The sequence below is a fragment of the Homo sapiens genome, chromosome 7 (assembly GCF_000001405.40).
Source record: "Homo sapiens chromosome 7, GRCh38.p14 Primary Assembly".
Lineage (NCBI taxonomy): Eukaryota > Metazoa > Chordata > Mammalia > Primates > Hominidae > Homo > Homo sapiens.
This window is the reverse complement of record NC_000007.14, coordinates 153,195,419-153,212,414: the sequence shown is the minus strand read 5'-3', so window position 1 is coordinate 153,212,414 and position 16,996 is coordinate 153,195,419. Positions and strand designations below refer to the sequence as shown.

The 16,996-nt window shown below is 38.4% G+C and overlaps 1 long non-coding RNA gene across 1 annotated transcript in view, besides 1 other annotated feature; it reads right to left on the bottom strand.

The window, feature by feature from the left end:
* The window catches only part of LOC102723686 (uncharacterized), a 121,255-nt gene that overhangs the window by 90,583 nt on the left and 13,676 nt on the right, over positions 1 to 16,996 (bottom strand). The gene's annotated exons all lie outside the window — the stretch shown is intronic.
* Positions 8,011 to 9,210: an enhancer, noted in NCBI's record as "BRD4-independent group 4 enhancer chr7:152900290-152901489 (GRCh37/hg19 assembly coordinates)". NCBI's record gives its function as "activates an origin of replication core promoter dependent on BRD2, P300/CBP, MED14 and CDK7 cofactors, and independent of BRD4, by STARR-seq in HCT116 cells {active_cell/tissue: HCT116}" and the evidence as "EXISTENCE:reporter gene assay evidence [ECO:0000049][PMID:35650434]".

Genomic DNA, 16,996 nt, shown 5'->3' with positions numbered 1-16,996 from the left:
ACAACATACACATTCCTCGTAAGTGCGCATGGGACATTTTCCAGGATATGCCATATGCTGGCCCACCAATTAAGCCCTGTAGATTTTAAAAGATAGATTTCATGCAACATATCTTCTCCAACCACAACAGATGAAGTTAAAAATAAATAACAGGAATAAAACTAAACACTCACAAATTTGTGGAAATTAAATAACACACTCTTAAACAACCAATAGCTCAAAGAAGATATTACAAGGGAAACTAGAAAATAATACTTAGACATAAATGAAAACAAAAACACAGCATACCAAAATTTATGGAATGCAATGAAAGCACTACTAAGAAGAAATTTTATAGCTATAAACACTTACATTAAAAAAAAAGATTTCAAATTAACAACCTAACTTGACAACTTTAGAAACCAGAAAAAGAACAACAAACTAAACCCAAACCTAGCAGAAGGAAGGTAATAATAAAGATTAGAACAGAGGTAAGTGAAATAGAGAATACAAAAACAATAGAGAAAACCAATAAAACCAAAGCTGGTTCTTTGAAAAGATCAACAAAATTGAGAAACTTTTAGCTAGATGAATTCAAATTTAAAAAGAGAGAATACTCAAATTATTAAAATCAGAAATGAAAGCAGGGACATTGCTACTGGTTCTACAGAAATAAAAAGAATTATAAGAGAGTACTATGTACAATAGTACAACAAAAATTGAATAACCTAATTTGGACAAATTTCTAGAATAACAAGACCTACCAAGACTAAATTGCAAAGAAACGGAAAATCTGAATAGACCTATAACTAATAAAGAGATTGATTCAGTAATCAAAAATCTCCTAAAAAAGAAACACCCTGGAACTAATGGCTTAACTGGTGAATTTTACCAAACATTTAAAGAACTAACACCAATTTTTCTCAAACTTTTCCAAAAAATTGAAGAGGAAGGAACACTTCCTCACTCATTCTGTTAGGCCAGCATTACCCTGAAATCAAAGCCAAACAAAGATACCATTGAAAAGAAAACTATATCTCTTATGCACATTGATGTAAAAATTCTCAAGCAACTACTAGCAAATCAAATTCAACAGCATATTAAAAGAATCATACACTATGACAAAGTAGGATTTATTCCTAAGTTGCAAGTATGGTGCAACATACAAAAATTGGTCAGTGTAACACAATCCATTAATAGAATGAAGGGGAAAAGCCAAGTGATTATCTTAAGAGATGCAGAAAAAGCACTTGACAAAATTACACTCAAGAAACCAGAAATAGAAGGAAATTACCTCAACATAATAAAAAGCCACATATGAGAAACCCACAGCAAACAGTGTATACTCAATGGAGGAAAGACTGAAAGCTTTTCCTCCAAGATCAGGGACAAGGCAAAGATGCTCACTTGCATCATTTCTATTCAACATCATACTGGATATTCTAGCCAGAGAAATTAGACATGAAAAATATATAAAATGTATTTAAATTGAGAAGGAAGAAGTAAAATGATCTCTATTCAGAGACGGTATGATCTTACATATTGGAAACTCTAAAGATTCCCGCTCCCCACCCCGCCCAAAAAAAACTGTTAGAATTAATAGGTTTAGCAAAGAAGCAAGGTACAGAGTCAACACATAAAAATCAGTTGCATTTATATTCACTAACAATTAACAATATGAATGGGAATTTACAAAAACAATTCCATTTAAAATAACATCTAAAAGAATAAAATAATTAGAAATTAATTTGACCAAGGAGGTGAAAGACTTGTATAATGAACACAGTAAAACATTGCTAATATAGAGAAACTAAAGAGGACACAAACACATGGAAACATACCCCATGTTCATGGATTGGAAGACAATACTGTTAAGATGACAAAACTATTGAAAGCAACTTACAGATTTATGCTGTTCCTATCAAAACCACAATGATTGTTTGCAGAGGTAGAAAAATCTATTCTAAAATTAATATGGAATCTCAAGGAACCCTAAGTAACCACAACAATCTTGCAAAGAAAACAAAGTTGTAAGATTCACACTTTCTGATCTCAAAACTTACTACAGAGTTACAGTAATCAAAACAGTGTGATACTGGCATAAAGACAGACATATTGACCACTGGAATAGAATAGAAAGCCCAGAAATACATACTCATATAATATGATCAAATGACTTTCAACAAGGGTGCCAAGACCATATAATGGGGAAAAGATGATTTTTTCAACATATAGTGCTTGGAAAACTAAATATCCACATGCAAAAGAATAAAGTTGGCTCTTTACCTAACACCATATACAAAGTCAGAATGGATCGAAGACTTAAATGTAAGACCTAAAAGTATAAAACTCATAGAAGAAAACATAGGACAAAAGCTTCATGACATTGCACTTGGCAATGATTTCTTGATTATGACACTAAAAATACAGGCAACGAAATAAAAAATAGACAAATTGGACTTCATGAAAATTACAAATTTTGTGCATCTAAATGCAATATCAACAAAGTAAAAAGGCAACCCACAGAATGGGAGAAAATATTTGCAAATAATATATTTATTACGAGATTAATATCCAGAATATATAAAGAACTCCTAAAACTCAACAACAATAAACAACAATTCAATTCAAAAATGGGCAAAGGACTTAAATAGACATTTCTCCATAGAATATATAAAATGGCCAATAAGCACATGATAAAATGTTCATCATCACTAATTATTAGGGAAATGTAAATCAAAACTACAATGAGATACTACTTCACACCCATTAGGATGGCTTCCATAAAATAAAATAAAAACAGAAAATAACAAGTATTGGCAAGGATGTGGGGAAATTGGAACCCTTTTGCATGGTTGATGGGAATGTAAACTGTTGCAGCCACTGTAGAAAACAGTACGTTGTTTCCCGAAAAAATTAAAAATATAATTACTATGTGATCCAGCAATTACACTTCTGGGTATATACTTAAAAGAATGGAAAACAGCATCTCCAAAAGATACGTGTACAACCTTGTTTATAGCTGTATTACTCCCAATATCTAAATGTGGAAGTAACCCCAGTGTCCATTAACAGATGAATGGATAAGCAAAATGCGGTCTACCCAGAGAATGGATTGTTAGCCCTACAAAGAAAGAAAAGCCTGCCACATGTACTACACGGATGAAACTTGAAGACATTATGCTACGTGCAATAATCCAATCACAAAAAGACAAATGCTTTATGATTCCACTTACATGAGATATTTACATTAGAATCAGAGACAAAGTAGAATGGTGGTTACCAGGGGCTGGGGTAGAAGGGAATGGGGAGCTACTGTTTGGCGGGTACAGAGTTTCAGTTCTGTGAGATGAAAAGAGACGTGGAGACAGATGGTGGTGATGGTTGTGCAACATTATAAATGTATTTAATGCCAATGAACTGTAAATTTAAAATGGCTAAGATAATAAACTTTATGTTATGTGATATTTTACCACAATAAAAAAAAATTGTGGGGAATAAAAGGTCCTGGATACAGGCTTACACCGCAGACTTCACTCTTCTGACAGAAAAGAAGAAAAAAATCCCTCGGGTTTGCCTAAGTTTCCTCTTCTCTGATTCCAATTTTATTTGAGCAGAAAATGAAAATATATACTTACATTTTTCAAGATAACTAACACCACGCCACTCATTTCCATAAGCCCCTTATGATTTTTAACCAGAATGGAATATCCTCATTCCACCTAAGATGCCAAGCTGCTCTGCTCTTTTATAACTAACAGCTTAAAATTTACGGGAAATGCTTAAGCTTGCTTACTAAACTCCGAGAGCTAAGCTTCTATGCAATGTTTATACCTGGTAGCTAATTCCACTTGCATTAGCAAGGAAGCTTTTGGTGATGACCTAGCAAGACTTGCTTTAAATGTATTTGTTTTAAGACAAAGCCTTGAAGCAAAGATATAAGGTACATTCTCCACATCCAAGTATAACACCTGAACAGACATGGCCTTACACCTAACATTTTGTAGTTGTTGTGTTTACGTCTGAAGGTAGTCTTTTGCTGAAAGAGTAATATTTCCCTCTTTAACGTGCTTTGATTTACTGTTCTGCTGTGTTTCAGACAAAATTCTTAGTAGAAGATGTTTATCAGAGGAAAGGAAGATAAGCAAGGGTTTACCTTGCCTGTTGTCTACTCTAGTTAGGGATATCATTATTTTCCATTAAGTGTGAGTCTCTCAGCTACAGCCTAGGAGTGAATTTAGCACTTTGGGAAATTATATTTACTCTCGCAAACAACTAAGGCACTATTTAGTCAATTACTGATCCAAAGCAATAAAGTTAGCTCATGATAGTTTTCAAAATTCATTAGAATAATGAAGTTCTACCGAAGTTGAAAATCTGCACTGACACTCCCCTTATTTATCACCATGGGTGTCTCCTTACTCCCATCCTCATCCTGCAATGGCATGTGTTCTAAAGTAAGAGAGAAACAACCTCAACATCTAACATCTACTAAGCTCCGAGCACGTAATTGTAACCTGACACATAGTAGATGCCCAGAAAACAAACTGTCAAATGAAATGGTACAAATCACTGTCCTAGACACAGACAAAGGGAAGAGGCCAGAGGGAAAGGTAGGGATGTTGGAGACAGCATTACATTGGGTCTTTGCTCTCAAGGAGCTTGAAATCTGATTCAGATAAGGCATCATAATGTGAAAATTAATTAATTTGTGTCATATTTTCTCTATAATCCCAAAGAAGGAGAAGAGCCTCACATGTTTAAAAAATAGAAAGAAAATCATTGAGCCTAGCTACAACATAGTGCAGAGTGTGAGGGTAAGAGACAGGGAGTCAATGACGGGCCACAGATGACAAGAAGCCTATTCATTCTGACAATCAGACTCCCCTGATAGGTCTTAGGAGGCAAATGAAGGCTTGAAAAGTCACTGTAGTTGCCAGTGGAAGAATGACTGGAATGGGTGAAAGAGGAAGCAGAGAGACCTTCAAGGAAGCTTTTGTCTTACACCAGAAGAAAAGCAAAGGCAATGTGGTCTACAGTAACAAAAATGGAGAAAGCCAATGCAATGGTGATCTATGTTGGAGATGAAGGTCTGACTGCGTTTGCAGATGAACCAGACGGTCAAGGTAAGGTAAAAGATATCAAGTGAAGGGTGTTCTGTAAATGTTTAGCCAGTAACCTGTCACCTCTCCACTTGAACCCCAAATGGTTCTCTTCCAGCCTCCCCCACTTCAGAAAAATGGCAGCCATGAACTTTACTTGGACAAATGAATTTTGAGATGTGTATTCACCCAAGTAGTGGTTTCAAGTAAGTGGTTGGACACATAAGTCAGAACTCAGCTTAGTGGTCAGGACTGGAAGCACCAGCATCCAGGAGATTTTCACAGCAATAGAACTGGATAGAACCATTGAAAGAATAAATGAAGACAGAGATGAAATAAGATCTCAGATCAAAGCCCTGGGACACCCCAGCATTTACGATGCAGGCAGTTTGGGAGAAGCCTACAGAGGAGACTGAGGAGAAGAGGCCAGAGAAGTAGCAGGAAACCCTGTTTGAAGCTAAGAATGAGAAGATTTTCAAGGAAGGAACCATGTCAGACGCTGCTAAGCTGCCAAGTGAGAGGAAGAATAAAATGTCAGGTTTGGAAAGACTGAGGTTGTGGATAAATTTGACAAGACTGGTTTCTATACAGTGACAGAAATAGAAGCCACAGGGAAATGTTTGCAACAAAATAAAAAACACCAGATATCACCTAGCTATACCACAGAGGAGAAAATTCTCAGGCCTTTTGCCCAAGCACAAACTTTGACTTGCTGTGACCATGAATACACAGCCTTTGCCACCTCTCCAGTATCAGTGGAATGTATGCTCCAAAAGGCCAGAAGCCGGGCATGGAACTGCATCATATGACAAGCCTCTTAGGCACAGGGTGCCTACCAGTTTCTCTAACATGCATTATTGTTCAAATTCTATGTTCATAAGTATTAATCTAGAGCCCCTGGACTTAAGGATTTAAGAGGGACTATATGAGACTATATCCAAAATTATGTGCAAATGCATTTTTCTAGTGAAAGAGTCTAAAGCTTTTAACAAATTTTTAAGGGGTCCATGACTCCCCCTCAAAAACTGAAATATTAAGAACTTTGCCCTACACCAAAGAAATTATACAGCTCACCAAACTGAGAGAGACTTTCTCTGAGATCAAGCTCCTATGAGAGCATCATTTATCATCATCCAGGGCACTAAGCAACATTTGCTCCACAGTCAAAGAAACTCCAAATAGCCCAGCAGCCTAATAAATCACCCACCCATCTCATCTAGCACTCCTCTAAGCTTTTAAAGACTTTGAATCCAGGGAAATGTCACTTCTGGGCATGGAGCTTCAGAGGCTGATAAATGCTAAACGATCCATCAAATTGTATGAGGACAGTGCAGAGCTTGAGCGGGAAGCCACACTGTGCTATACCTAAAGAATTGTAGCTCAAGCACAAAGCACTATCTGACGAGGGTCCTCCTAATTCAATTTCTGAAATCAGTTCCCATCAAGAACTCCTGCTGTGGGTAAGATATGGTGGCTGGCTTATAAGTGGTACTCGGCATTCTGATTGGGTCAGTGCTATCCCAAGGGTTTCACTCCACTTTGAATACTTGGGCAAAGGCTGCTAGAAATGTTCGGCAATGATAGTGAATATGCTTGTTCCAAGAATATAAAGGAATTTTAGGACATTTGTGCTCTTCAAAGTGCCAGAGGTGAAGCATAAATTGGTTCTCTATACCCGCCGAGCAGCAGTGCACTCCTTGCAAGCCACCGTGAATGGGTCGGATGTGAAATTTCAACCTCATCTAAAATTCAAGTTTAACTCCTCAGCTGCCACCACCATATTTGGTCACTACAGAGTCAGAGCTCACTTCCAATCAGGAACATGACATTTAACTACTAGTGGAAACACAGCTGTCTATATTCTGAAATATCCTTCCTTGGGAGTACTCTTTCAATCTTCAGTCAAAACATACAAATGTACAAAATATTCAGTGCCCAAGGGCATGGCAGGGGCTCAAGGCAGGGATGATGCCTCTCACACACTTTTTTTTCCAGTCATCAAATTTCAAGACAACAGATGTTTATTCAGTGATTTCTCTTTTGATTTTTCAATCCGTGGCATCTAGCACAGTGCCTGGCATGTAGAGGCAGCACAATTCTTTTAATCAATAAATCAAGTATTGAGAGATTAGAGGAATACTGTATCAGTCAGGGTCTGGTCAGAAAACAGAAACCAGGCTAGGATTTCACACAAAGGGAATTTAATATGGGGAACAGCTTATGCAGGTATCAGAAGATGGGGATGCCTAAAGAGACAATGAGGCAAGCTAGATTCTAGCAACAGCAGGTGCCATTCCGAGTCCTGGGTATGAGGCAGGTCTCCCAGGGCTAAGAGCTGGATAAGCACAGGGGAGCTGCCTGACCACAGTCAGGAGTACAGAGAGAAGGGAAAGGGCTGCCCCTACAAGAGCCAAAGCACCGAGGAGGTGCTGCCTGCGATAGAAAGCAGGTGAAAAAGCCCTGACTTCCCTCATTCCACCCTCCTGTCTTACACTAGAGTGTCCATTGGCAGAGGGCAGGGGAGGCTAAGAGATGTAGCTGTTATCCACGGCAGAGCACACAAAGATGGTGAATAGGCAACTGACTCCCACAAATACTCCTTAAGATACAAAGAGCATATGACAATTTCCCAAGGAATTAATTAGTATGAATTAGTGACAGCATCAAGGAATGCATAAGATACACATGCTTTAAAGGGTGCTGTAAGGGTGAAAGAGCAGTAGAAACAGTAAGCCCTGAAGCCATCCCCAAGAAGGAGAGATGCATATGCTCCTCAGAAGACAGGCTGGAGCATTCACCTCTGCATCTCAGCGCACAAAAGGTGTTGATTCAAAAGACATGGACTGGACTGATTTCCATTGTTGATGAGAATGGTCTGAAGGGGTTTCCACGGAGCACATGAATGGGTTCCTGCTTTTGAAAGAGGAGAAGAATTAAACTGAAAAGGAGAATACAGGAATTCTAGAATGGCAGCCATAGGCGTGTAGAGGCTGAAATGAAGAACAGAGACATAACCTTGTGCCAGAGCATGGCTTGCCTCTGCACACCACTCATGCTCTGGGTCTCTCCAATTACTCCAGAGCTGATGTTGTCTCCACCTCAACATTATAAAATCTTTGAAGGTAGGAATGGCTCTACTTCATCTTGTCCCAAGCCTCTCAGTTCTCAAGGTGTTGTTCAGCAGTTGGCTTCACGTCCCTTGTCTCCCCTTGACCTCTCCCTGGAATCCCTCTCCTCACCCGTCACCTTTTTATTTCAAGAAGGTGGATAAAGTCCGCATGTTTATATCTCCTCCTCCCTAAATTTCCACAGAAACAAAAGAGACAAGAACAATCTACAGGTCATTAGAAAACAAAAAGAGTGCAAACAGGAAAAATAATATTTGGGGAACTTCCACATAGTAGAAAGACGATGGATGTGGACAACTGGGTGTGAATAGGCAACGGACTCCCACAATGAGAATGCAGACAAACCAGCCCCAGCACAATAGCAGCTACGAGGATGTAGACAAAGCGGCCAGGACAACAGCGGCAGAAGGGGTGAGTGAAGTGAGAAGTGCTCTGCCCTTCCAGCGCTTTTTCCTTGCCCCTCTCAGGTGAGATTCCCATTCTTCCCTCTCCCTCCAGCAAGAGCTTACTTAAGTCTTTTCTGTTTCCTCTCCAAGGAAGGAAGATGCAATCGTGTAACTGGTTAGGACCTGAGGCTCCTATTTCACTGGGTCTCAAAAGCAAGAATGGGCCAAGTGCTTGTCCCCTGTGCAGGTGTGACAGATGCCTATGCCTCTGCCACCTTCACTCCTTGCTCCCTCTGCTTCTGCCCAGGTACACAGGCCATCTGAAGGTAGCACTTCTCTCTTCCAGCATCTCTGCTTGTAACAAAGACAGATTTATCAACTCAGGATGCATCAATTCTAAGGATGGATTCATCAGATTAAGTCTTGAGTTTGAGGCAGATCCCAGCTACCTTGAAGGCAAGTGCCAATCTTCAATCCAGTTTTTTTCTTAATGGAAATATAATTATTCAGAAAAGTACATACTTCAAAACAGTTTTAATAGGCAGGACTTGCCTTTTAGGGCTTACAGGACACTCTTGTCGCTTTAGATAAAGTTCTCTCTGTTCTACTAGCTTTTTCTCTGCACATAAGGTGCATCAGCTAAGACCTAGGCAGGATAACGGGAGGCACGGACCCTCGAATCCTCAACAGGAACCATTGCCTAACTGTTCTCGAGGGGAAGGCCTCTTATAGGTACCTCCTCCCTGGCAGGGTGAGGGGTACCCTAAGGAAATGAATGCTGAGCCTTAGAGTTCTCAGATACTTCACTCCCATTGATTAATCAGGACCTGCCATAAAGTGTAAAGAAACATTAACAGGCAATGAATAATCACCAGCTATTAGAATAAACAGCCACAAACAGGGAACTAATTTCAAAAATTTTACAAATTCCAAAAAACTTCTTCATCACCAAGACAATTTGCTTCCATCTCCCAGAAAACTGAGAAATATAGAAGTCCACTATGATGGCAGTATAAATCCTGCAACCCCACAGCAATAGCACAGCAAGCAATTTCATGGCTATGTCTGGTGCCTTTTACTTTTTAGGCAGAGCCAGCAAATTTTCAGTTAAGTGAATATCATCATTACCTTTAATGCAATATTGAAGAATTGACTTCTAATTAAGGTTAATAAAAGGAAAAATCATCAATAACTAAAATTCAAAAGGAGTCATAAAAATCTTTACAGAATGACTGGGGAGAATGGAGAGCGTGCAGAAGGCCATGAGGAGGTAGCTGGAGATTTTGTGCATAAGCTGCCTTCTGTGTAGGTGATTGCCTCTCTCTAGCCTTCTTTGGTTGGTAGAAACTTTTCTCTTTTTTTCCTGTAGTAATTTAGTTTTATACCTTATTTCCATTGACAAGTGGTTTTCCTTGAAAATTTAAAGAGAGACCTAAAAAGATGATCATTGAGATATATCAGTTATCTTAATAGGTTAAATTTCCTATTAAAAGGCATATTGTGAGAGTGTAAGTGCATGCTGTTTACAACAGACTTATCCAAAATCAGATGGCACAAGAAAAAAATAAATAAAGTAATAGATGAGATACACGGAGAAAATGCTAACAAAGGAAACACGTGTAGCAATACTAATATGATTTCAAAGCAAACATTCTTAAATAGCAGAAAGAATTTCATATTGATTAAAGAGATAATTCACAAAGAAAATACAACAGTCACAAATCTTCAGGCATATAACAAACCACCAAAATATCTACAGCAAAAGATACATAAATTCAAGGAGAAACTGGAAAAGCAGAAACACATTTCTCAAAAATAAATTCAATTTTTAAAATGAGATTTTAGAATTTGATTAACAAGACTAACAAATTTGGTATAATATTGACTAACTATAAAATTTTACACCCAAAACCAGAATAAGCATTTTAAAGGACTAACAGGATATTAAATAAGAATTTTATTAGTTAATAAACATAATCTTCATATATTCTTCCTAAAGTAGAAATCACACAGAACATGCTTTTTGAGCATTACTCAACGAAACTAGAAGAGTGAAGAATAGGATAGTCAAAATAAATCTAAGCATATAGAAAATATAAAATACTCAAATCTTTTGGACAAAAGAAGAAATCAAAATAAAAATTGCAAACCTCAGGTGAGTTTAAAGAAAAAAGAGGCTTACAGGCCAAAATCAACAGCTTTCCACATTGGACGACTGTGTGCATTTGTCTATAACTTGCCTGACAGTTAATTGCCTGTATCCCTTTTCTACCCAGTTGTTGCCTTCTCATCTATACATGGAGGGAAATCCACCCTTTGTTATCTGTGTTGCCCGCGCTTTCTTTCAGATTTTTGCTCCTATGTTAATTTTCTTTTCTGGTGTCTTTACACATACAGAGATTTTAAATTTTTATGTGGCTAGGACTGTGAGTCTTTTTCTTTCTATGTTTCTGTCTTACTCAAGCAGATACTCCTCCTCAGCCCACATTACCAAACTATTATCCTCAAATTTCTTGTTTTAAGTCACTTATATTTTTATCTTTAGTATGTTTGAAATTTATTTTGTGTATGATTGGTATAAGAGGTCTAGTTGCTTCCTCTAAGAAGCCAGTTATGCCAGATGGATCAAGTGGGGTTCCTTTCCCCTTTGATGTGGACAGCAATCTTGATAGCATATTTAATTCTGTAGTGACAGCTCCCTCTGGCTCATTCTCCCTCCCTTGTCCATTTTTTTTTTTTTTTTTTTTTTTTTGAGATGGAGTTTTGCTCTTGTTGCCCAGGCTGGAGTGCAGTGGCATGATCTCGGCTCACTGCAACCTCCACCTCCCAGGTTCAATCGATTCTCCTGCCTCAGCCTCCCGAGTAGCTGGAATTACAGGCATGCGCCACCACACCCAGCTAATTTTGTATTTTTAGTAGAGACGGGCTGGTCTCTACTAAAAGACCAGCTTTAGTTGGTCAGGCTGGTCTTGAACTCCCAACCTCAGGTGATCTGCCCGCCTCAGCCTCCCAAAATGCTGGGATTACAGGCGTGAGCCACCACACCTGGCTGTCATCCACTTTTAAGGACTCTTGTAATTACACTGGGTCCACCCAGGTAATCCAGGATCATCTCTATTTTATCTGTTTTATGTATGAATGTATGTATGTATGTGTTTATTTATTTACTTATTGTTGTCATTAGTAGTAGGGGCATCATTTATTCTTTATTCTTTATTTTTTATTTTTTATTTCCATAGGTTTTTGGGGAACAGGTGGTGTTTGGTTACATGAATAAGTTCTTTAGTGGTGATTTCTGAGATTTTGGTGCACCATCACCTGAGCAGTATGCACTGTACCCAATGTGTAGTCTTTTATCCCTCACCCCCTCCCATCTTTCTCCCCGAGTCTTCAAAGTCCATTGTATCATTCTTATGCCTTTGCATCCTCATAGCTTAGCTCCCACTTATGAGTGAGAACATATGATGTTTGGTTTTCCATTCCTGAGTTTCTTCCCTTGGAATAATGGTCTCCAATTCCATCCAGGTCACTGTGAATGCCGTTATTTCATCCTTTTTATGGCTGAGTAGTATTCCATGGTATATATATATATATATAAACCACAATTTCTTTATTCACTCATTGATTGATGCATATTTGGGCTGGTATCATATTTTTGCAATTGCAAGTTGTACTGCTATAAACATGTGTGTGCAAGAATCTTTTTCATATAATTACTCATTTTCCTCTGGGTAGATACCCAGGAATGGGGTTGCTGGATCAAATGGTAGATCTACTTTTAGTTCTTTAAGGAATCTCCACACTGTTTTTCATAGTGGTTGTACTAGTTTACATTCCCACTGGCAGTGTAGAAGTGTTCTCTTTTCACCGCATCCATGCCAACATCTATTATTTTTTTATTATGGCCATTCCTGCAGGGGAGTGAGGTGGTATCACATTGTGGTTTTGATTTGCATTTCCCTGATAATTAGTGATGTTGAGCATTTTTTCATATGTTTGTTGGCCATTTGTGTATCTTCTTCTGAGAATTGTCTATTCATGTCCTTAGCCCACTTTTTGATCGAATTGTTTGTTTTTTTCTTGCTAATTTGTTTGAGTTCCTTCTAGATTCTGGATATTAGTCCTTTGTTGGATGTATAGATTGTGAAGGCTTTCTCCCACTCTGTGGGTTGTCTGTTTATTCTGCTGATTGTTTCTTTTGCTACATAGAAGCTTTTTAGTTTAATTAAGTCCCATCAATTTATCTTTGTTTTTATTGCATTTGCTTTTGGGTTCTTGGTCATGAAGTCTTTGCCTAAGCCAGTGTCTAGAAGGGTTTTTCTGATGTTATCTCCTAGAGCTTTTATGGTTTCAGGTCTTAGATTTAAGTCCTTGATCCATCTAAACTTGATTTTTGTATAAGCTGAGAGATGAGGATCGTCTCATTCTTCTATCTGTGGCTTGACAATTACAGGATAATCTCTATTTTAAAATCAGCTAATAAACAACTCAATTCCATCTGTATCCTTAATTCCCCTTTTCCATGCAACCTAATATATCCACAGGTTCCAAGAGTAAGGACATGGACGTTATCTTGCTACCACAGAGTATATGACTGGACCTGTCACCTCCCTCTCTGAAGCTAGAAGTCCAGGGCTGCCTGTCCCCCGCTGCATGAGATCATGAGGGTGCCCCGCCTGGGCATATGAACTCAGAGCTTGCATGCTCACTTGCTACACAGGCATGAAAAGACTTAAGAGGCAAGAGAGGTGGGGAGCAAAGGGCCCTGCTCCTGCTAACCAGAGTTCAACAGGTACCAGATGAAACCAGTTTAGCCATACTTAACAAACTAGTTACTCTTCCTCGCATGGGTAGAGAGTGAACTAGTGGCCAATCAGACCAGACAGTCCTTCCCCCAGGGAAGCATTCATTGATCACTTGCCTCCTTGCTCTCACATCCATTACCTCCACTTCCCCTATTTGCTGTGTGTTCAGGACATTCCATTTTCCAGGCTCCCATGCCAACTGGCTTTCTGGTGATTTTGGCCAATGAGAGGTGCATGTGGAAGACTGAGGAGGAAGGAAAAGGAGGAAGGGAGCCAGGATTTACTATGTCCCTCCACTGCCTCAGGCCGATTTCCAACTTCTCCATCAATAGCTCTCACCAAAATCTTCTCCCTAGATCTTGCAGAACCTGACAAAAGGCTCCAGATCCTCTATTATGGTCACACTACCTCCTTCAATTGTTCCTTCACTCACAGACAAGGCAATGTTTTCCTGCTGTTCCTAATCCATCTATTGCCTTAGTGTCCTACTTGACTTTTCCAGTCTTTTGTCATCGATGGACACAGTTCCCTATATTGAATTCCCTCTGTTCAAAGATATAGAGTGGTTTCTGCTTCCGTGGGTTTGAACTAATACATGGTAGTAAATTCCCTCTCAAAAACATGAATGTAATAGAATCAGGCCCAGATATCCAAAACAGCTATCATTAGAGTCAAAAGTAAGTAGAACTTCACAGGGGCACATAAGTAGCTCCAACTGCAAAAGTAGATGACTAAAGACAAAAATTATCAAAATACTTTCAGGCCGAATTCTTCAAATAGAAAATATTGCTTCCACTGTCTCCATTTCTAGACTGATTCACTTACGCAATGCAGTCCTTGTGCATAAGCCAAGTCAAGTGTGTCAAGAAGTAGCAATGCTGTAAGACACAATCATCTAACTTTGGGGTTTACACAAATAACCTAGGGGGCCAGTTTAAAAAAATAAAATGTATGTGCTCCAACTTCAAACATTTAGAAGTTCTAGGTGAGGCCCCTAATCTGCATTTCAGTACAACAAGTGATTCTGACACACGTATTCCAGGGACTACGTGCTGAGAAACTCAATATGATCAGTGATCTCCAGAAGGTTATTTCAATGTTCTTGGCCTCAGCTTCCCCATCTGTCACACAGGAATGGATACAACAACCTCAAAAATATGCCATAGGATTAAAAAACCTCCTATATTATAAAGCATCTGGTCTACGCAGGGTAAGGATAGCAAAAGAGAAAGGGGTTGCATGCATCCTACACATTAATTTCTGCTGAGTATTCAAGACAAGCATCATTCTTTGATATTCTTATTTTAACAACATATTTTTATGTCTTGGGATATTAATATTGGTGATGCAGATCTGGACTCAGAATGTGTCTCAAATTTCTTGAGTTGATACAGAATAGAAACAGTTAATCCAAGTCCAATATCAATTTAAGTTAGGAAGTCTCTACTTCTAGTATAACTTAAAAAGCTATCTGACAGATAAGAGATATCAGCTGTGTTTTTAAAAAATGCTTATTAACTTTGCAATCTGGTACACTAAAAACTAAATTTTAAAAAAACCTCAGTTAGAATATTTAATTAAGACTAGTTGAATTATTTAGTCAAGGGAATCAGTTCATAAGGCCCAATAATCTTTTAAAAGTTACTTTTTATAAATGTAGTTATACAATGTTAAAAACGACTCTGTTAACAACTTTCAGAAGCTAAACCTCACCATCTCCTGCCTTCCTGCCCTACCCTCAGAAATTAGCCAATTGAAGAACCAGCCAACATACACAGCAATTTAGAGATCCCTTGATAATGCGGCATCCAATTGTTACTTAATCGTGAATAAAATGGTTTTAAAGTGAGTTAACATGCTAATAGCATCAACTTTAACAGCCCCATTTATTCTTCACATTATGTGAATAATTCGTGGGTAGAGCTCTCTGTCTGAATGGAGCTTTGTTGTCTCACTGGGTAAATAGCCCACAAATCCCACCCATTGCACAATCTGCTCCACAGATATGTGCACACACTTCTGCAAAGTATTAGGGTGGGAATCAGGGTCAAGCAGTGAAAGTAAAAATTTTGATGCAAATGAGCATGGAGATGTAAAAAGGAACAGTAGAGAATTGGAGGGAATTCTAGAAAATAAAGAGCAAATCAATTGTCTTTGTTTGGAATCTATGATTTTCAAAATCTTTTACAACCAGCAAATGTTTCCAGTGAGCGGGGGGGGGAAGTGTAATAGCTTTGTGTCTCAGAGGAGGTTGGATTCAAAAATACCAAGAAAGAATTGGGATGGCCACCATGCCACAGGTGTGGAAATAGAGAATTTCACAACTACAGGTAGTTACAGACATCTATGAGTAGGGGAGAGGGATTGTAGTAATCAAGCATCCCAAGTCCAGTGCTTTCCACAAAGAATACTGGGAATAGGGGTCCACACATAATGGAGCAGACTTTGTGTCCACGTCCGCATCCTTGGTCAGTGAAGACGCAGTAACAAGGCAGATCTTCCTTCCCTCTGCCCTTCCTTAGAATGGAAGGCTGTTCTACAAATACATGGAAGCTTCTATAATTCTGAGACCCTGCATAAGTCTAGAACTCCAAAGACAAATTCAAAATGAGAATGCGGGTTTAAATAAGAAATGTAAGAGAAACTATGCTACAACTAGATCAGGTAAGTCAATGAAGCAGGAAAATTAAACGTCAAAGAAATATCCATCCAACCACTGACCCACTATCTGTCTGAATAACTAGAAAGGTAGAACTAATGAAAACTGAGTTTGGATCTGCAAAATGTAAGTCATTTCTGTATCTCCCATGAAAGACAAAGAGAACCAACGTTAGGGACCTGACTAGCTATTTTTCAGAAACTCTTTAACAACAGGCCAATAACACAGTAGCCAGTTAATGTTTGATACGCAGTGGAAACCACACCATCAACATATCCATCTACTTGTTCAAACATTATTATCAAGACAATCACAAATTATATGATAAAGTTATTAAATGCTATGGCTCAACTAAGAATTTTCTGGAAATTTGTTCACTGATAGCCTGTGGGTAAAGCAAATAAGTTCTATTAAAATGGTCACTTAGTGACCTGGAAGAATCCCTGATGTTGCTGGGTTCCCTGCAGAAAACAGACATCAGAAACAGGAAGATGCAAATTGCCTTTGGTCTAACTACTGATATGGTAAAGTTCTAACTAGTAATTATTTTTCCTGTATTTAGCAGTATACACACATACAGACACACAAATACCATTGCCAATAGACTCTAGGAACACAATTACACTTGCGTAGGGGTCTTCCAAACAGTCTGTCAACTATAAAACCTGAAAACACAGCCAGCTTCTCTGCAAAGACAATCAGTACTTTCCATTCTATTTGCACATACTTAATATAATTATTATAAAGTATACTATTAAAACAACTAACATTTATTGAGCACTTACTATGTTCTAGGCACTATGAAAGGTGTTTTATATATAATATCTCATTGAATCTTTACAATAGCCTTTTGAAATAAGCAGATAAGTTCTTATAATTCCCACAGTATCAATAGGCAATCAAAACTCATGAGTCTTGAGTGCATTGACCCAGGATT